This window comes from Homo sapiens, chromosome 7 (genome assembly GCF_000001405.40).
Source record: "Homo sapiens chromosome 7, GRCh38.p14 Primary Assembly".
NCBI lineage: Eukaryota > Metazoa > Chordata > Mammalia > Primates > Hominidae > Homo > Homo sapiens.
Genome location: NC_000007.14, coordinates 11,111,257 through 11,133,251, shown reverse-complemented (window position 1 = coordinate 11,133,251; position 21,995 = coordinate 11,111,257). Strand labels below are relative to the sequence as shown.

The 21,995-nt window shown below is 33.0% G+C and overlaps 1 protein-coding gene across 2 annotated transcripts in view, besides 1 other annotated feature; it reads right to left on the bottom strand.

Moving 5' to 3' along the window:
* The window catches only part of PHF14 (PHD finger protein 14), a 195,747-nt gene that overhangs the window by 36,367 nt on the left and 137,385 nt on the right, over positions 1-21,995 (bottom strand). For both annotated transcript variants that reach the window (NR_033436.2, NM_001007157.2), the window contains one exon: positions 21,785-21,902. Coding sequence is in view for 1 of the 2 variants with exons in the window: in NM_001007157.2 (NP_001007158.1) it covers positions 21,785-21,902 (118 nt within the window). In the remaining variant the exon portion in view is untranslated. The remainder of the gene's footprint in view (positions 1-21,784; positions 21,903-21,995) is intronic.
* Positions 9,993-10,193: a silencer, noted in NCBI's record as "peak6386 fragment used in MPRA reporter construct". NCBI's record gives its function as "represses an SCP1 promoter by STARR-seq MPRAs in K562 erythroleukemia cells {active_cell/tissue: K562}" and the evidence as "EXISTENCE:reporter gene assay evidence [ECO:0000049][PMID:32103011]".

Genomic DNA, 21,995 nt, shown 5'->3' with positions numbered 1-21,995 from the left:
TTATGTTGGCTATTCTGGGTTTTCTACCTTTCCATATAAACTTGAGAATCAGTTTGTCAAAATCCACAAAATAACTTGCTGAGAGTTCGATTGGGATTGCACTGAATCTATAGTTTAAGTTGAAAAGAACTGACATCTTGAAAATATTTATTTCTCCTGTCAATGAACATGGAATAGCTTTCTATTTATTTAGTTCTTTATTTCTTTTATTAGAATTTTGTAGTTTCTCTCATACAGGTTTTGTGTATATTTTGTTAGATTCATACCTAAGAATTTCATGGGTTTTCTGGTGCCAAATCAAATGGTATTATGTTTTAAATTTCAGACTTGAATAGACATTTCTCCAAAGAACAGGTAAACATCATCAATAGGTATATGAAAAGGTGCTCAACATCACTAATCATTAGGGAGATGCAAATCCAAACCACTATGAGATACCATCTCATACTCATTAGGATGGCTAATTATCAAAAAGTCAAAAGATAACAAATGTTGGTGAGGGGGTGGAGAAAAGGGGAACTCATGTACACTGTTAGTAGGAATGTAAGTTGGTATTACCATTATACCATTATAAAAAAACACTATAAAGGTTTCTAAATAAATTAAAAATAGAAAGACCATATGACCCAGATTCCCTCTTCTAGGAATATACTCAAAGGAAATGAAATCACCACCTCATAAAGATACTTGCACTCTCATGTTCACTGCAGCATTATTCACAATAGCCAAGATACAAAAACAACCTAACCGCCCATTAACAGACAAATGGGTAAAGAAATTGTGGTATATAAATGAGATGTTATTTATCCCTAAAAAAGAATGAGATCTCGCCATCTGCCACAACATGGATGGACCTGGAGGACACAAGACTAAGTGAAACAAGCCAGGCACAAAAAGAAAAATATTAAATGGTCTCACTTTTATGTGGAATCTAAAAAAAAAAAAAAAATCTCAATTATACAGACAGAACAAAACCCTGGTTATCAGTGGGAAGAAAATGGGCAAGTAGAGGTCAGAGGATGTAAAGCAGCAGATATATAAGATGAAAAAGGTCTAGAGATAAAATATACAATATGAGGGCTACAGGTATGCAATTGTACTGTATTTGGAATTCATGCAAAATGAGTAGATTTTAGCTATTCTTGCCAAAACCTTCCCTCCCAAAAAAATGGTAATTATGTGACATGATGGATATGCTAACTTGAACTATAGTAACTTTTTACCATATATCTGTATCCCAGAACACCATGTTGTATACCTTAAATATACACAATAAAAAATTTTTAAAAAAACCCAACAAGAAAAAATTCCAGTAGTCCATTGTTGTAACATAAGAAAGCAATTGGCTTTTGAATATTAACAAATAGTGCTGGACCATATGGACCTCCAAATGTCAAAAAGAAAGAATGAGAGAGAGAGACAGAGAGAGAACGTAGGCACAGGTCTAACACCTTTCACAAAAATTAACTCACAATGAATCACAGACATAAATGTAAAATGCAAAACTATAAAACTCCCAGAAGACAACATAGTAGAAAATCTAGGTGACCACAAATTTGATGATACAATACCAAAAATATAATCCATAAGAGAAAAAAATTAAGCTGGACTTCATTAACATTAAAAACTTCTACTCTGCAAAAAACAGTGATAATATTTTGCAAATTGGAGAAAATATTTGCAAACCACATATCTGATAAAGGACTGGCATTCAAAATATACAAATAACTCTTTAAAATTAAACAATAATTTTACAACCCAATTTAAAAAACAGGCCAAAGATCTGAATAGGTATCTCATAAAAGATATATATATGGCAAATAAGCATATGAAAAGATGCTCAACACTACATGTCCTTATGAAACTGCAAATGAAAACTACTTCCCACATGCTAGAATGGCTAAAATCTAAAACACTGACAGCATCAATGCTGGCAAAGATATGGAACAACAACTCTCATTTGTTGTGGGATGAAATGCAAAATGGTACTGCCATTTTGGAAGACAGTTTGGCAGCCAAACACACTCTTACCATATGATCCCATAATGGAACTCCTTGGTATTTCCTGACTAAGTTGACTGGTGCCCACTTAAAAACTTGTACCTGAATGTTTATAGTAGCGTTATTCATAACTGCCAAAACTTGGAAACAAACAAGACTGTTGTGTACAAAACAAACAAATTTTACACGTACTCTCTCTTACCTTTAATAGGAGCATATCCATACAATAGAACATTACTCAGTGATTAAAAAAAAAAGCTCTCAAGTCATGAAAAGACATGACAAACCCCTAAATGCGTATTGCTTACGGAAAGAAGCCAAATTGAACAGGCTACATACTATATGACATTCAGAAAAGGCAAAACTATGGAGACAGCAAAAGGATCTGTGGTTGCCAGTGGTTTGATGGTAGAGAGGGAGTGGTGAATAGGCAGAGCACAGGAGATCTTTAGGGCAGTGAACTATTCTGTATGACACTGTAATGGTGGACATGTGTCATTATTACAACTGTCAAAACCCACAGAATGTACCACACAAAAAATAAGTTATAATGTAAACAACAAACTTTAGTTAATAATAATGTATCAATACTGGCTCATCAATTTTTAACAAATGTACCACATGAATGCAAGATGGTAACAGAGGAAACTAGGGGAAGGAGGAAGGGATGAGGGGGCATATGGGAAATCTGTAGTTTTAACTCCATTTTTCTATAAACCTAAAACTGCTCAAAAAGAAACAAAAAAATCAAAAATACTACCAAAAGGCTATTTTTAAAAAAGCAAAGAAAAAAATCAAGAGAACATATTAGCAGCTATTACTACTACCATTACATTTCACACTATTATGCAGTTTCCCCCATATAAATTGTATATACGTTCTCTCTCTCTCCAAGGATTTCCTTGAATCCTGGAATGAATCCCAGAAAGGTCTTGGAAGTATGGTAGCATATGGTGGTAGCATTACACTTACTGGCTTCTTAAAGTTAGGTTTGACTGCGTCATCTGAGGAATGTGGCCTGGAGTGATATGTATCAAATTCCAGATATGATTTTAAAAGCCAGTGTGACATTTGTGGTATTTCCTGCTACTATGCTGTGGACCACATATGTTGAAACAAAACCTCCATCAGCTCGGGTCCCCAAGTGACTATAATGAGCAGAGCTGCTCTGTCAACCTGTACTGATACGTTACATGAATGAGAAATCAACTTATATTAATCAACTAAAAATTTGGGATTCTTTTTTTTGCTGCATAACTTAGCATATCCTAATTAATACTTCTGTCAAATCCTACTAGCCTTTATAATTCTATTGAAATGTTGTATTTTTTGCCAATCTCTTTTTGCTTGGTGCTGAAAGCAATCATCCTACTCTCAAAATTCCCACTGTACCTTACCTATACTTCTTAATGGCATTTAACACTTTAAATTTGATATCATAATTAAATGCATACATGCTTTATCTATCCTACTAGCATCTAAGTTTTTTAAGGGCAAGATTTATGTCTCATCTTACTACATCTGAAGCACCTAGTGAAGTATGTGGCACACCTTCTGAATACTATACAGATTTTTATCCAATAAAAATGAGACTCCTATTGCTAATATATTGGTAGGTCCATCAACAGAAAGAAAATATTTTGGTAAATAAAGGGTTTACTGTCTCTTAAATTTTATGTAAAGGCAAAAAAAAAAAAAAAAAGAAACATACACACAAAATAGGCATTTTCATTTGGATTAGTTTTATACCCTTAGACAATGCCAGTGTTCTTTATTCTGAAGGAGACAACTTACTTTCCTTTTAATTTAAAACTGTGTCTATTCCAAAGAAATCTGTGAACAGGTACTATTAAATGTTAACAGAAATGCTGAGTGAACTACATAAGAAAATAATCTAAGAAAGAATATGATTTTAAACTTGCTGAACAGATATCTTCTTGGTCTTTTTTGCATATTTGGGTCATGGCTGCCAGAAATTTATGTTCCAAACATCATTTGTTGTTTCAATAAACAGCCTTGGGCCTCTAAGGCAAAAACTAGAACCTGCACCACCTCTACTGCCATTTGGCAAAATAAAAGTTTTAAAAATAATTTCAGTAACAACTAAGAGAAAATAGGCTAGCAGTGGAGAACTACCAGGAACAATCTTAAATCTATCTTAGAAAAAATATGCAACATCCAGGTTCCTTGCTTTAAGAAAGTATGACAGAAATATCCTCTGTTGTAAGAGAGTTTGTAATCTAGCTGGTAAAAATAACCCAGATATAAAAAGATCAATAGCATGACAAAAAAAGTCTACCAAATGTCAAATGAACAGCCTAGCAAAAAAAGTGCAAAAGAAATTGAATCTAGGCCTAAGGATTGTAGGGCAACTAGAAAACTATAATTTAAACTGGACATTTAATTAAGAAGAAAAAAAACCTGATGATATATGAGGCTTTTTGCAAAAGAGTAGTGAGAAAGAAGGAGGGGAAGAGAAAAAGAGAGGGAGAGAGGAGGGAGAATGGGAGAGACGGAAGGAGAACGGGAGGAAAGCAGTGGGGGCGGGGGGAGAGAGAGAGACTGATTTACATCTAAAATACTAGCAGCATGAGTCTAGATTATATATGGCCTTGAATGTCAGGGATAAAACCCTGATGTCTATACTATAGTATAGACAATGGAAAGCGCCTTACTTTTTTCTTGGATTTTCTGACCTGGAAATTTGAAAAGTGATCTTTCCCAAAGAGTGACTGGGAAAAAGTGTGTAGAATGGCTTAATGAGAACAGAAACAAGTACTGAAGAGAAAGGAGATGTTTGGAATAAAGAACAGAGGAGGTAGTGGCACTTTTATTTTCTGAGACAGGAAATAGAATGAAGTAGGGAAAATAACAAAGACTTTTTTTAAGGCTGAGAGGAGAAAGATAAAAATATCACCCCCCTTTCCTCAGTGAAAATAAGAGACAAGATCATCTTGAAAAAGTAAGTCTGCTGGGAATAAAACTGAAGCCTTGATGCATGTGTCAAAGATTTGAAATAACTGCTATAAGAAATCTGATAAGGAGATCACAAAAGATAGCAATGAGGTCTGGTTTAAATTAGAAGGCATGAATTTGTAGTGAACTCAAGTACATATATTTTATGTTATTTCTGGCCAAAAAAGAAACAGTTGAGATAAACCAATACAGTGAATCTTGAGAAGTTGGGCAGTTACAATGGAGGACTCTAATGGTTTTAAAAAGTGCACATTAAAATGTCAAGTTACAACTTTAAAAAGGTGGAGGAGAGTAAATGGTGGCCTGGAGGTCTTGAGAGGAGTTCAGGAACTGGTATAAAGTGTTTGAAGAAGTGAAAGAAGTGATAATTATGAAAAAAAAAATCATGATTTAAGTCATGGTGATAGGATATTTGATTTAGGACTCATGGGTGAGTGAAATTTTCTCAATCTCTCGTAAATGGTCTAAGCTATTCATTTTTAAAGATATGCACTGATAAAATACTTCAGAAAATATTTTCTTCAAAGTCTTACACAAAATTTGGTATGGTAACTCATTAAAGGAGAAGTCTGAAGAATGAGGAAAGGTGAAACTGGAGAGTAAGGATTTCTTTAGAAGAGGTACTTTAAAGGAAGTCCCTCTCAGAAGAGGAATTTTCTAAAAATTACTCAGAGTTTGTCCCCTGGGAGTTTGGAGGACAAGGACTAGATGATGATACATGCCTGTCTGTCTGTAGTAGCAAAGCAAAGATGCATGGCTGCAGTGGGAATGGCTGTTCTTTCTGAGCTTGTTAAGGCAAGGGGTTGTGTGTTTCCCCTAGGACAAAATGTGGGCCCGTTAAAGAGCAAGACTCTAGAAAGGAATCTAGCCAAAGAGGACAGCGTTGGTGGGATGGGGATAATGCCAATCAAAAAAGAGATAAACGGAACTAAGTTCTGAAAAGGAAGTCACAAGTAACCCACAGAAGGCATCTCTCATATCAAGGCACCTCTACATAGAAAAGCTCTAGCAATGAGTCAAAAAAAAAAAAGGAGGGGCAAGAATCAAAATCTAGAATGCCCCACTTCCAAACTACAGGTTTCCCAGTTTAAAGGAGGTCTGAGCTGCTGAGAATAGAAGATTTGACATTAAACTGGACTGGACTTTGATATTTAAAAAAAAGACTATTAATACCTAAAGGTAACTGGAAAAGCTGTAAGATTTGTCTGAGAGTAACTGGGGGAAAAAGGAAGCTCCAAATGAGCATGTTTAAAGGCACTGGGATGGAAGGAATCGAGCTCATTTCTGTTTGTACCTTGTCTTGGAATTAAGAGCAAAATTTACTTAAATCACAATAAAAACGTAAGAGTGGTCTGTTAAAAATAGCTCACTTGAGAATCCTTAAGGCATTTAATATGAAGAACAAATAAAACCACTTTTTTGTCTCTTTTTATACTGTTTAATTTGAAGAGTTTTTGTTTAATGATGTCAAATTCAGACTGTAGCTTTTTTTTTTTTTTCATCCTATTGCTATGAGGAGGTTAAAAAAATACAGCTAACTGTATTTTACCCTATTAGGGACATTGCTATCTTAGGGAAGCTTTTCATTGATAAAAGAACATAAACATACTTGAAAAATATATTGTCATGTTTCCAAATACTGCTTGGAAATGTGAAGGAGAAAGGAAGGAGTAGACAGGAAGACAAAAGTTAGGGATTTTGAAACAGCTAAATAACGAAGAGAGAAAGTTTATTTCACTGCAAAAATTAGATTCATATGTAGTAGATTTGAGAATACTAAAAAATAAAGATTAAGATTGTACTTAACAGAGTCTTTATGCTGTAAACAGGTTAAAGCTTCAACATTGTCACAAGGAAAGGTAAAGAAATATCTATCCTTTACAGCACTTAGCCTGCTTATAAAAGAGTAAATAATGTATCCTAAAAATATGTACTTCATTCACACTCTGAAAATTGTTTTAAGTGGTAAAAATTAATAATTAAGCAAATGACTGGATACTAGGATAAATTTTAAATTGAGTCATTAAGATGATTTGCTGTTGGTTGTTGAAACTGCTGCATTAAAATAAAGAAATAATGCTGAAATACCTTATACTTATTACCTGCATTAAGCTACCAATACATCTGTGCTTTGGAAAAATGATTTACAAATAACTAATCATCTAAATTTTGAACTCTGATTTTAGAAACAGAATATAAAGAATACTATTGGTCTTTAAAAATTGAGAGAATGGTCCAGCCCTCAAGAACACGAAAGTGAACACATTGCTGACAAGTGCTTTGATACAGCTTGAACTTTTCAAAGCGATTCTTAAAATGTTAACCTCTATAAGCATACTTTAAAGAGTTTTCAAACCAGTGAAGCACATAATCTTTTGCAGCCATTATTGAAGGTACCCTTAACAAAAAACCGACTTAATTTCAATGAAGGTATAACACTATAATATAAACCTTTAAGAAACCTTCAGAGAAAATATTAAAATAGGTTGTATCTTAGGTGACCAGAGATTAGATTTATCATATGAATATAGTCCAGAGGAAAAAAAGAGAACAATATATTAAACATAAAACAACTTGTAAAAGTCTGAAATCACAAAAAGAGGTGGCAGAGCTAGGTCACAGGTGGAAATATAGTAGAATAAAAACAGTTACATACAGACCTTTATCTGTCAATGAGGCAGGAACCATTTCTAAACCTTTTATAGGTGAGGTAATAATTTTGTACTCCTTGTTTAATAATCAAAAGAATTAACAAAAGAATTGTCAGCAAAAGAATTAACACAAACGAGTGTAAACTGAATTGTATTTATACTCAATACACTTAGAAGCAAGTATTCTTTTGAAGAAGAGAAACTTGTACTGCAAAAGAATGCTGATACTAGGATAAAAACATACAAAAACTGCCAGTGTACACAAAGTATAATAGCTGACACTACACAAATGAGAATATTCTTAAACTATCTTTGCAAAGGGATTGAGTGTGGCTGGCTGTAGTTACTTTTCACAGTACTGGTTTTCAAACTTCACAACTCATGACAAACATTAAAAACTAAGATTTGACTGAGGTAAAATACAGTGCTTAGTGTCTAATAAAAAAAAATCACCTTTAGATCCCTTTCCTTTACCTCCCTCCAAGTTCAATAGATTAGTTTCTGCTGTGTCTACATAAATCATCCATATTGTCAAATGGTACCTCCCCTAACACAGATCTTATTTAATTGAATTTCATGAAGAAAGGGCCCTGAGGAGTTGAGTTACCTCATCTTCCACATTCATCTTCCCACACCATACCATAGCACCATCTTTAATCAACTTATTTGTTTTAAAATATCTTTGTGTTTTATTCCCCTATCCATTAGAAAGACAAAAGCAGATCCCACTTAATAATATTTTTCCCTTTCCGATTAGAAGTCATGTTTATTTATAATAGAAAAATTATCTGAGTTTTACATGATGAAAATCTAAAATGGCTTTAGGACAAAATCTAATTTGAGAATCTCTTACAATAAGAAATAGAAAATACCTATTTTAATATATAAAATCTAGTTTCTAAAACACAGGCTCTAGAGTCAGGGAGATCTGGGTTTGAATTACTGTTATATCACTTATTAGCTGTGTAATCCTTAACTTCTCTGAATCTCATTTCTTTCTTTCATCTGCAGAAAGGAGATAAAAAAAAACAATAACCACCTTAAAGGTTGTGGTGAGGATTACATAGAATTATACATTTTAAATGCTTAGAAAATGCCAGGCACATAGTGGTGCTCAACAAAATGTTAACTTCTATTATTATTATTAGTATGATACTTTCTTATTTTAAAAATGTTTATATTGTTTGATCTAGTCATTACATTAAAAGTATATTTGTATAAGAAATTGTACAGCACTTAAAAATAGATTATGTAAGAGTATTTAACAACATGGTAAACTGCCATACATGCAATTATATTTTTCAAAATACCATTATATAACAGAAAGTATGATCTAACTGTAATTTTTTTTAAAGTAGGTTGTAGTAGGACATACCACCAAAACATGAGCAGAAATGTAGTATCTTTAGGTGCTAAATTGCAGATAATTTAAAATACTTCTTTATGTTTAAAATTTTTTTCCAATATTCAACAATGACCATTTACTACTTTTACAATATTTTTAAAACCCCAAAGTGTATTTTTTTTTCCTGATACCAACTTTCTTCAGAAAAGTGGAGTTAGAAAAAAGAAAAGGAAAAAGTAAGGAGAAAAACAGTGAGAGGCATGTATTTTTTAAAAGCAATATTTTAAATAAAGGATATCAATTTTACTATATTAAACAAAATTCCTATTTTGAATTATTACTTTCTAGTTTTTTTTTTTTTGAGATGGAGTCTCGCTCTGTCACCCAGGGTGGAGTGTAGTGGCACGATCTCGGCTCACTGCAACTTCCGCCTCCTGGGTTCAAGCGATTCACCCAGGCTGGAGTGTAGTGGCACGATCTCTGCTCATTCCAGCCTCCGCTTCCTGGGTTCAAGCGATTCACCCAGGCTGGAGTGTAGTGGTGTGATCTCGGTTCACTGCAGCCTCTGCCTCCTGGGTTCAAGTGATTCTCCTGTCTCAGCCTCCCGAGTAGGTGGGACTAAAGGTTCACACCACTGCACCCAGCTAATTTTTGTATTTTTAGTAGAGATATGGTTTCACCATATTGACTAGGCTGGTCTCGAACTCCTGACCTTGTGATCTGCCTGTCTCGGCCTCCCAAAGCACTGGGAATACAGGTGTGAGCCACTGCGCCCAGCCAACTTTCTAGCTTTAAAGTTTATCAAAATTCAAGAGTCCAACATTTTAATTATAGCATATTTAATCATATCTTCAGAATATTTAATTTGAAGATCAAATTAATATACATTCGCCTACTTAAGTAAATGTCAGTTAAACTACTTAGTAAAAGGAGACTATAAGAGGAAACGGCCAATTAAACCATATATGTAAATTTATTGCTATATTGTCTTAATCACTAGACAAAAGGATATTTTAAAAGGCAAAAAAGTCTCTCTTGAGGGACATTAACTCAGAGAAAGCAGATGGATCACTTAAATCCTAAATCCCAAGATTTCCTGTTGCAAAATGGGTGTGGTATTGAGCTTTGGGTATAGATGCTATCAACTGCAGCGAGAAAAAAAGACTGTGAAACCAACCTAGAGAAGCCTATCAAAAAAACCAAAGAAATGGTCCGCTAAGAAAAGGCAAACGCAGGAGAGAAGAAGTTCACTGAAGGCGAGAAAGAAGTATTTTTAAAAGGAGGAAATTACCAACAAGGTGGATGAAACATGACACAGAATAATAGAGGAAGATTCTTGATTTTGACAAACTGAATTTACAGCTCAGAGAAGTTCCTGGACATGCAGCTGGGCAATTTCAGAACTTGGAAAAGACAAAGGGAGCATGTTTTATTGGTGACCAAGAAAACACTACTGAAGCTACTACTAATTTAATATACAGCAGGACTGGACTAAGCTGGAACTATAGGGCAGTGGAAGGACAATGTGGACCATACTCTTATAATTTGCCTTATTTGTTAATGGCATTTTGCCAAGGAGAAACGTGTTAACAACAGCATATCTGATATTCCCAGAAAAAGATAATTCAATTTTTAAAGTAACATGAAGGGAAACAAATAAAGAAACATATGCTATGATTAAGGAAGTATATCATTAATGGTTCCCTCTACTGGGAATCAGGACAGCAGGGGGTAGAAAGGGAAATAATTGTAGGGCATAAAGATAGGGTTCTGAAGAATTTATATGTATGAATCACTACCCTTTGACACACACACACACACAATATATATATATACGTATATATATATACGTGTATATATATATACGTGTATATATATATGTGTGTGTATGTATGTGTGTGTGTGTGTGTGTGTGTGTGTGTGTGTATATATATATATATATATATAAAAAGTACAAACAGTAATCTCCCCTTAACTGTGGTTTTGCTTTCCCAGGTTTCAGTTACCCATGGTAAACTGTGATCTGGAAATAGTAAATAAAAAGTTCCAGAATACCATGGAACACTATGCAGCCATAAAAAAGAATGAGTTCATGTCCTTTGCAGGGACATGGATGAAGCTGGAAGCCATCATTCTCAGCAAACTAACACAGAAACAGAAAACCAAACACCCCATGTTCTCACTCATAAGTGAGAGTGGAATAATGAGAACACATGGACACAGGGAGAGAAGCAACACACACCAGAGGCCTGTCGGGGGGTAGGGCAAGGGGAGGAAGTGCATTAGGACAAATACCTAATGCATGCAGGGCTTAAAACGTCTGACGGGTTGACAGGTGCAGCAAACCACCATGGCACATGTATACCTACGGAACAAACCTGTACGTTCTGGACACGTACCCCAGAACTTATAGAAAAAAAAAAATTCCAGAAATAAACAGTTTGGAAGTTTTAAATTGCATACCATTCTGAAGAGCATGATGAAATCTCATGTTGTCCCACTTGTTCCCACTTGGGACATGAATCATTCCTTTGCCCAGAATATGTCCATACTGTATGTGCTACCTGCTCGTTAGTCACTTAGCTGTCTCAGTGACTAGATCGACCATCACAGTACTGCAGGGCTTGTGTCCAAGTAACCCTTATTTTACTTAGTAACAACCCCGAAGTGCAAGAGTAGTGATGTTAACAATTTTGATATGCCAAAGGGAAGCCATAAGATATTTCCTTTCACTGAAAAGACATGTCTAGGAAAAAATAACTGGTTTAAGGCATCTTCTAGGGGTCTTGGAACATAACCCCTGCAATTAAGTAGGCAGTGGGGGGAGGCTACTGTACTGAGAGTCTACCTTTCTAAAAGAAAAGAATTAGTAGCATCGGAGAATTAGTAAACATTTCCTTACTTAAGTGTAAGGTTTTCTTTTGCATAAATGCTGTAAGGCATATTGATGGCACATAATCATGCTTTGAAATTCTAAATGTGTTTATACAATATGCTCTAAAAGTTAAAAACCTTAACTTCCAGACTCAACAAGGAATGTGAAAGTGCTAGCCCAGATTTTCCAACATATCCATCCTTAAAAGATCCCACATGTATATAATAAAAAGGGTGTGTTGCTGATATTTACCTGTTAAAAAGTCATTCTTTAGGGATGATGAAACTTTTGTTATCAGAAACTGCATACACCTTGACAAAGTGGACTTATAAATTGTCTTACAACTGTCTTCAGTGGTTTGTTACGTTTACATTTTACTGGATTTACTTTGTATTTTCATTTCAGTTTCAAGTTTACAGTTTTAATGACCTTGACAAAGAAAAAAATATGCCTTTATAGTCTAAGAAAAATTTCTTGGATATTTCTTCACTTGTTACTAAAATATGTCGTCAGTAAAAAACAAGTTTCCGTATGAGTTAGATCTTTTCCTATTATTCATACCAGGCAGAGTCAGTGGCTTAAATATGGCTTAAACAAAACAAACCTTTAGTTTCTAAATATCATTCTCTCTACTTATAAAATAAATATATTAGTGCATGATTCACATAGGACCATAATCCTATATTTAAAGTGAAATATGAATTACCATCAATATTAAAAGTACTAACTACAGTACATTTAGAAAATCTGATAGGATAGCATATACTTTAAAAAAATTTAGGGAGCCATGAATGCCATGGTTTAAAAATACATTAATTATAAAGATAGCTTTCATTGCTACCAAGAAATTATAACAAATGGACATTTTTCTGCATGAAAAAGTTAGACTTGACCTTCCCCTGTTTAGTGTGAAACTCTGAGACAGGAAAGATTTTCATTTGATGTGTGTGAAGGCAGAAAATGAAACAGAAAATTACTCTTCAGGTTACTTTTAAAAAACATTTCTTAACATTTGAAAATCAGAGTATTATCACTAATTTTGAACTTTTCTCTCTGTGCCTAAAATGCTTGTCACTTACTGAGCACCTCTATACTTCCCAGTATTGCCATTCAACCTTCTACAAATGAGCAACCTAAAAGTTAGGTGAAACAACTTGCTGAAGTTCACAAGTAACTATAAATAGTTAAGACCTGAGCCCAGTTTGTTTCTTTTCAAAGCTCAGAAAAACACTTTCATCTACACCAAATTGCATACTTAACTTTCTATATAATTTAAATTACTCTATCTTCCTACTATACGACGCATCCAATTATAAGAACTCCGCCAATTTAATGGCAATTTTTTGGGAAAAAATAACTATTATCACTTAAAGATAAAAACTGCTTATAGATACACAATCTAATTTCAGAAATGTCAAAAATGAATATATTAAAAGGCAATTAACATGGCATAATGCACTTTATGTTTCTAACCTCTAATTTACAACTTATCACACCTAGGAAAGATTCCATCAGAAAATCAAAATTGGAATGCTCAACTATATTTGATTTCAAAGAACTCAATTCCATTAACTACCAGAGTTCATTTTTCGAATTTTCTTGGCTTAGATTTGAAAGTTTTCTTGAAGAAGTCTCTTAGTCATAAGCAAAAGAGCACTTCTTAAACCACAATATGTAGGTTGGAAACAATATTTTTTAACAAATATTTTATAAAATTATGAACTAATTAAAATGTTTAATAAATTAGAGGAACCAAATTACTCTCACTATATCTACATCTACAATGCATGCAATCTCACTTTGTTTTTTTGAAGCCAGGATTTAAGCCTTTTCTATTATTTAGGCGATATTTTCACAATTGTGAGAATAGTTTAATTCCACTAGGAGTATCTTTTCACAATGAACATGTCTCTCACACTCACACGACAAATAAAAACTGGAATAAAAATTTACATAATTAATATATTCCACACCACTTCTGAATTTTATAACAGTACGATCTATGATATATTGGTTGATTATATAACCTTATTTTAATATTTCAAATGCTGGGTTAATAAGGTAAAAATACTTTTATTAACTTTTGTAAAGCCGTAATAAAATGTCCTTTATCTTAACTCTCAGCATTTTAGTAGCTGAAATAACAAAATAACAAAAAATAAAAACACACAAAAAAATTTTAAACTACAGGACAGTATGAGGTTTGCGACTTTTAAAAGACATTTATATGTATGGCAACCTACTGTACTTTGATTAATTATCTCAGTTATGATTTAGTTTCTCATCACATATGGTATTCCACAGCATGCTATGTAAATGCACCAGGCCACATGCCACTTAGAAAATGGCTTAGTTTTTCAAGTTTGTAGTAAGCGTAATTTAGAAAGTGGCTTAGTTTTTCAATTTTGTAAATTATCAATATAGTGAAAGATGGTCTATTTTTAGATGTTCTAACCATTTTCCTTTCTCTGTGAATTTGATATTTAAATATATCAAAATATGTGTATCATAAACACTGACAAACTTATCTTAATAAATCATATTTTCAAAATGATGCTTAAGGAATAATTTACTGAAGTATATACGTTTAATATATATTATCTGATTCCCATGAAAACTACCTTAGGTTAAAGAACCAAACAGATCAATACTGATTCCAATTCTATTAATACTATTAAGAATGACTAATAAACAATCTATGTTTTACTGAAAATGATTACTTGATAAAAACATTGTCTAGAAATAGGTTTCAGAAAACACGTCTAGGACAATAAAGTATTAATAAAACCACCTACTTGACCAGGCAATAATGATGACTAATAAGTTCAATTCAGGACATAAATGTTCAGTATGAACAATAAAACACTCTAATTTTTTTTTTAAAGCAAAGTACCAACTATAATTAGTGGGATTGTTAAGCAAATAATTATTAATAGTCCCAAAGTACAGCACTCAATTAGAAACTAAGGGATTAAAAGACATTTATACAAACAATTTCACTTGCCAAGGAACATGCTAGAAGCAATTAGCAACTGCCTGAACTTAGTTGAGGACCTTGTTCTACAGTAGAGGATCAACTGGAAATCTGTGGGCTTTATCCCACCCACCAGGAAAGAGGAAATCTAAAGTTTAATACAAAACTAAAACCATCTTTGAGGATAACCACATACCACAGTTTTAATTCTCAGACTTTTAGTAAGTCTACAAAACACCGCAGATTTGTTCTATTTAATTCTAATATAGGACACAATAGAAACAACTTTTTTTCCAGACTTTTTACATATCTGTATTAGTAAAAAGGCAAACCAAAACTCAGTAAAGCTCCATGAAGCACATTTTTGTAAGCTTTTGTAAGCTTGTCCCACAAACGCTAGAAGAGTACTGAATTTAGACAGCTGAGTGGTATACATCTTACCTAAAAATGATGTCTCTGTCGGCCATATAAAATCCAGAAACTTAAAATTCAATCTAATGTCAGATAAAATCCCAGAGGTCAAATGAATAGTTAAAATATTTAAAAGTCTCTTTTTTATGCGTCAGTTATATGCTTCAAATTTTAAAGAACTTTAAAGGATAATTCATTTTAATTTTATATTTTTCATAAATCTTCTCAATGCATAAAATTCAGACATTCAATTTCCAATATTACCAAGTTCAATTAAATGTGCTTGTTTAATGTATTGTGGCAAGATACTCCTGAAGAGATTGTTCCGTTCTTAAAGACACAAAATTCTCAATGACTGTTTTACTTGAAAATATATATTTATACATATTTATACATACAAATACATATTTGTATTTATACATATAAATACATATTTATATATATCGTTTGGGCATAGTTATAGAATTTATTTCAATGCAGAAAAGATAAAAAATAAAACCAAAATTAAAAATATCGTATGTCCTCTACTTAAAGATTTTTAATACAAATGATTATTGAGAAATATCACTCGCCTTAGCTAGTCTGTCACGCATTTGTAGTTCTAGAAAATCTCCTATAAGGACTTGGATGAAATTCCTATGCATATGAATTCAAAAATTATTACTACTCAAAAAATGTAGCATACTAGAAAGATCAAATAAGACTGAACCAAATAGAAGTCTCCAAGCTAAGACAGCTCACCTTGTAGTAGTCAGATAATGACCTGTCATGTATACTCCATGGCTTCTCACAAAACATAGCTTTAAACAAAGATGAAAAGCTACAATAGTAACTGACATAGTCACGATAAAGTACATGATGGATATTTAAATCCTCAGTGGCGTCTGTGAATACATATGACCTGGAGGAAGCACTTTTAAAAGAAATATTTATACATGTTCATGTAACCATATTAAGACAAGTTATCATCATTTTAAGTGTTTCAGCAGATACAAGTTGTTGAGATCTTTATCAAGAATATCCTGGAAAAGACTGAAGCATGAGCTATGTCCTACTTTTTAAATTACAATACTAAGTCTACTTTATATCTTATATGGCAATATACAATATAATATTAAAATGTCAATTTGTTGACATTTGACTTGGGTTATACACATTGTTTTAAAATTTAAAATTCCAAAAAGTTAATTTTTAGCTTCAAAACTTTGTAAAAACTGAAGTTTTTAACAACTAGGTATAACAGTAGTTCTTATTCCTAACTGCTCATAAAATCTCATAAAATCACCTGTGGAACTTGTAAAAAATACAAATGTCAGTCCTCATCCCTTCTCTCCTCTTCCTGAACAATTCAGTTTAAAAGTTATCAAATGACAAGCAAAGTAGGTATCCATGTGGGCAGGAGTAGAGGGTGATAAGAGATTGGTTTCATATCAGGAGAGTAATGATACAAGAGTATACATTAAGGAAAATGGGAGCCAGTTTTCTGTCAGAGAGTTATTTACAAAGGAGTTATTTACAAAGATGAAAAGGAAGAAAATTAGTTTTCAATGTCTATGAAAGCAAAAATATAGATGTAAGTGTGGCTGTGTATGAATACGTATACCTACATCCAGTCCTTGGCTTTTTCTACTGAGAAGAACCGGGAAAAGCAATATCCCAGTAACAATGACCACACCAGATCTTGGTTTCTAAATATCGTTTTCCACTAAAAGGAACCTGGGCTCCTTGGAGAAACAGCTGATTCCAGGAATGGAGATAGAGACAGTAGATAAGCTGAGCCTGGAAGACCTTCGGCAAGAAAGTACCTGAAGATTGGCGGAATCATGTCAAAAGGATATAGAAGGCAGCTTGAAGTGGCTTTCATTAGCTGAATTTGTAGTAATTTGAAAATAACAATAAATAATAACATTCAATATAACCCCACTGAATAAAACAGAAAATGAAGGTTTGATGAGGAATAGGATATTTTTACATAGTCTCAAGGTTCTTCCCCAGAAATCACTAATTAATTAGAAAACTAGCAGACAACTCCTAAGATATAACATCATTATCTATAATTCAAATCAAAATTTTGTGTAGAATGCACACAGCATCACATCTGTGGTATTCTTATCAAAGATGCATAATGAATCTAAACCACAAGAAAATATTTGAAAAATGCACAGTGAAATACATTCTACAAAATAACTGCTCTGTAATTTTCAAAAGTCACAAGCTAATGAAAGTTAAGGAAAGACTAAGGAACTGTCCAGATTCAAGACAAAAGAAATATGAAAACTAAATGTAACCTGTGATTCTATACCGAATCCTTTTGCCATAAATGACCTTACTGGGATTAATAGCCAAACCTAAATGAAATCTGAGGATCAGACAGTAATAATATAGCAATGTTAACTTCCTGATCTGGCTGATTTTATTTTGGATATGAAGAAGAATGAAAAAACACTGACAGATTTCAAGCAGAGGTATGATAACTACATTTTCAGAAAGCTATTTTTGATGATGCAAATCAATAGAAAAAACATCTTAAGTATGCACCTCAACATAAATATGTATGTGTGACGTTTTATGTACCTGTTCTATAGTACTAGCTTATTTAAATCATGAAAATAGACTCAAACATGAAAATTTAAAAAGATGTTATATAGAATTAATTTAATGAGTCATTTTGTATATCTACTGTGGGGCAAACACTTCATTTAGAGGGCTCTAGTAAGCAGAATGGTTAAAAAGGGGATAAGTCTGGCCCATCTATTCAGATAGCTTCTCAAACAGGAAGAACCATAACAGAATGAGAAGAAGTGAGGCACTAAATCAAGACAGTAGTAGTGGAAAAAAGGAGCAAAGAGCAGACTGGAGAAATATTTAAAGAAGAAAACTTTTATAGGACTCAGGAAGTGATTTGCTATGTGAGATAAGGATGGGGAAGGCTTGAGGATGATTCCAGATATGTGACTTGGGTGAACGGATGGAAGAAGAAATAAGGGAAAAATAAGAGAAAAGTTGAGGTTAAGAAAGAAGAAAACACATTTCTTTTCCAGGCATGTGGCATTTATTAACAATAGGATTTTCACAACACAGTAAAGGGCAAGAAAAAAAAGCCCTAATGCAGGGTGACAGGTAGCAATGAACTAGCTCCACTGAATATAAGCATAGTGCACTGTCTGGGTGGCTGCTGTCTTAATCAATGGCTTTGAAGCATAGCCTATGCGAGAAGGTATGTTTTGTGTATGAGTGTATGTGTCTCTGTGTATTTGTATGTGTGTATATTTGTGCCTCCATGTATGTAAATACGTGTGGATATGTTTGTGTCCATGTAACTGACTATTTTTTATGAAACTCAAAATGACTACTTAGGTTTATGAAGAGTTGATGAGACAGAGAAAGTCTTATCATGCTATACTTCATGGGTATGGGTATAATAAATGGTCATTCTTCTACTTTTAGGTGAATTGTTATTAAATCAATATTATTAAAACTAAATATTTAGGTGTATTTCCGCTTTCATGTGCTAAAACAAAAAATTATGAATTCAGATATGATGAATCTTATTAGACTTACGGAATTTCTATAAAAGTAATAGACAGGGGTAAAGATAGAAATTTTTGCCCTCATACAACCCCATATCAAAAACTTGTTACTTGAAAGACAAAGTAATATATAAATAGCTGCTGACAGTATAAATAGCAATATTTTAGAGTTTCCCCTGGTCCACAGAATTTAGACAAAATGTTAAAGTGCAATTCATTTTTCCAGCAAATATTCAACTATACATGCTATGTATTATCTAAACTTCTAGGCAAAACAAATAGGGAGTCAAAATTTCAAATAAAAGTGAAGACTTGTTGGACTTAACAACATGACTACCGCAGAGAAAGAAGTTGGAGACATTTTACCATCTAAATTTATTTGCAATTGATTACTTCCTTTCTTATGGCAATAAGTATTTCTCCTTTAGCTTTTCATTTCATTAAAATATATGAACATGGCAAATATACCCAGTGCTACCTAGCAAATAATATTCCACCTAAGCAAATGTAGGAGAATAAAGGATAAAGCAAAGCATATGAACTTTCATTCTGGGTTTCTTTTAAGCCCTAAGATGTCACTAATTTTCTTGACTTGGATGTTAATAATATACAGCTTCCGAATGTAAAAGCTTCTGCAGCATTCACTGAATTATAAAGCATGACATTATCTATCAATGCTTTCTTCTTAGGCTGTAATACTAGCAAACATCTTTCAGAAGAAAATGCCAACAGAAATTTACTACCCACTGGTCATGAATGGAAGTCTTCCAAAGTAAGAAAAACCACTGATGCAGCACAAATATTCAAGGGAATCAATTAAGTCTCCGGAAGTTTCAGCTTAAATATTATATTAAATTTCATTTTTCATTGGAAAATGGTAGTATATTAAGTCATATAAGTATAACGAAAATACAAATACATTTCACTGTTGTTTCATTCCTTACAGTAAACTGCTGTGACATTCCAATATTAGAAACCATATTTTATAAAATTTTGAAAATGTTAGTTGTTTATATTGGTATTCAACCACAGGTCAAACAGAGTACAGCAAATATAAAGCAAGTTTTCTAACAATGTGCCTTCCTAACGCATTTCCACTCAGAGTCCAAAGACCCATTCTGTGGTAGAGAAGAAAACAAAACTAAAACCTTATCCAATGGCTACTGGCACCTATGGCATGTACAAAATGTATGCAATGTTTCAAACAAATCTAAAATATGCCCCCTTGCCTTTTCAATGTTCATTAACAACATTACTGTATAACTTAACATTTAACATAATACTACATATTTATAGTATTATTGAGCCTTCTCAAAAGAATATATGCAAAAAGGTATATTTAAAAAAGGTGGGAAATCCTATTTCAAAAATTGTTTTCCTAACTTGTTTGCTGGGGGTAGGAGAAAATCCCAAACAAAAAATGCACTTAAAAAAACTTATTAAAGAGACTCGTAAGACAACTATTTAAACTCCATAGTGTTTCATTATTTTTACATTTAAATAAAATTTTGGGAATACATTTTTGAACTGTGCAATAAAATCTTTAAAATTAAATATGTTCTCTCTTAAATCTAGGCCTTAATAAAATGCCTGGAAAATAATTCTTGCTACTATATAGTTTACAATTTTAGGTTAAAATGCTTGATTATTAAATAAAATATATGCAAATATTATATCTTAATAATCCTCATACAAATATTTATAATTTTTTTTTTTTTGAGATGGAGTCTCGCCCTGTCGCCCAGGTTGGCATGCAATGGCGTGATCTCGGTTCACTGCAACCTCTGCCTCCCGGGTTCAAGTGATTCTCCTGCCTCAGCCTCCCAAGTAGCTGGGATTAGAGGCACTCGCCACCATGTCTGGCTAATTTTTTGTATCTTTAGTAGAGATGGGGTTTCGCCATGTTGGCCAGGCTGGTCTCGAACTCCTGACCTCATGATCCACCTCCCTCGACCTCCCAAAGTGCTGGGATTACAGGTGTGAGCCACCCGGCAAAAAATGTGTATAATTTTAAATAAATTCTGATATTTAAAAAAAGTTTAGTTTCTTTCTATAACCAAATGTCTTTTTGCAGTTTTTAATAAATAAACTTTTGCAGAAGGCCTCTGTGGTAAGCTGAAGCAAATCATTTTAGTTAATGATAAAAGAATGTTTTTGATTACATGATCAATTTTAATTCACTCTAGGACCAAAAAAATCATTTAAGTAGCATTGAAGAAAGATGGCTGGATGTCCATAATACAACAGACAGTTAATTTTCGTCATCTTTTTTGAGAAAGAAAAATCGGATTAATCTACAGTTGACCAGAATGTCTTCATTCAAATGTATTCAGTATTTCTGCCAAATCAGTCAAAACATTAGGAGTCTGGCTATTTACTTACTCACTTTAACAAACCACAAAATAAACTATGTATTACTACAATGTAAGTTTAGAATGTTAATATTAAAAAGATGTAATTTTCAAACTGATTTGGGGGTATAATCTATTAAACATTAGATTATAGAAATTTCATTCTACTCAGCTAAAATAAATATCAGAAATAAGATTTAGGATATGAAAACTATTTTGTTTTTTTTTTAAAGGAACAGATTCTATAAGATATTACAATATATTATATTTTAAAATAAAACATCTATAAAATTCTATTTAATTGGTTATTCTGTTAGCTAACATAATTTATTATGACTCAGGGTGGAATTTTCCTGCCATTCTCAAGTGTGTTAAGTTAGCAGAGAGTGATCTGTTTGGGCTTTCGGAGCACTATTTAATATGTTACAATAATAGAGAATACGTAAAACAACTAAATATTCCAGAGAGAAAATTCACATAATTTAGTAGAGTTGTTTTTTCCTTAATTTAAGAGCAAGAAAATAACCATAGCAATATATTCTTAAGGTGTACTGGTTAAAATGTTGGTTCTTCATATTCCAATTATCTTTAAAGAAGCTAATTGTGTGACATGGGAAAGCTATCAAACGGAAGGACACCAATACCTTTTCTTATAGACTTCTCCCCTTACCTTGGAAGATGAAGAATCACATTCCTGACATATCCATCCGTAGCCTGTCTGTTTAGGAGACTTTTTCAAAGGAGGATCCAAACAGCCAAAATGGTAGCAGAGTCTGCATTCATCACACCTGCAGGGTAAACAGATTTATAGGTAGGTGTATCTAAATAATATAAAAACCATCTACTTCATGAAAAGACAAAAAGACAAACTATTGTATATT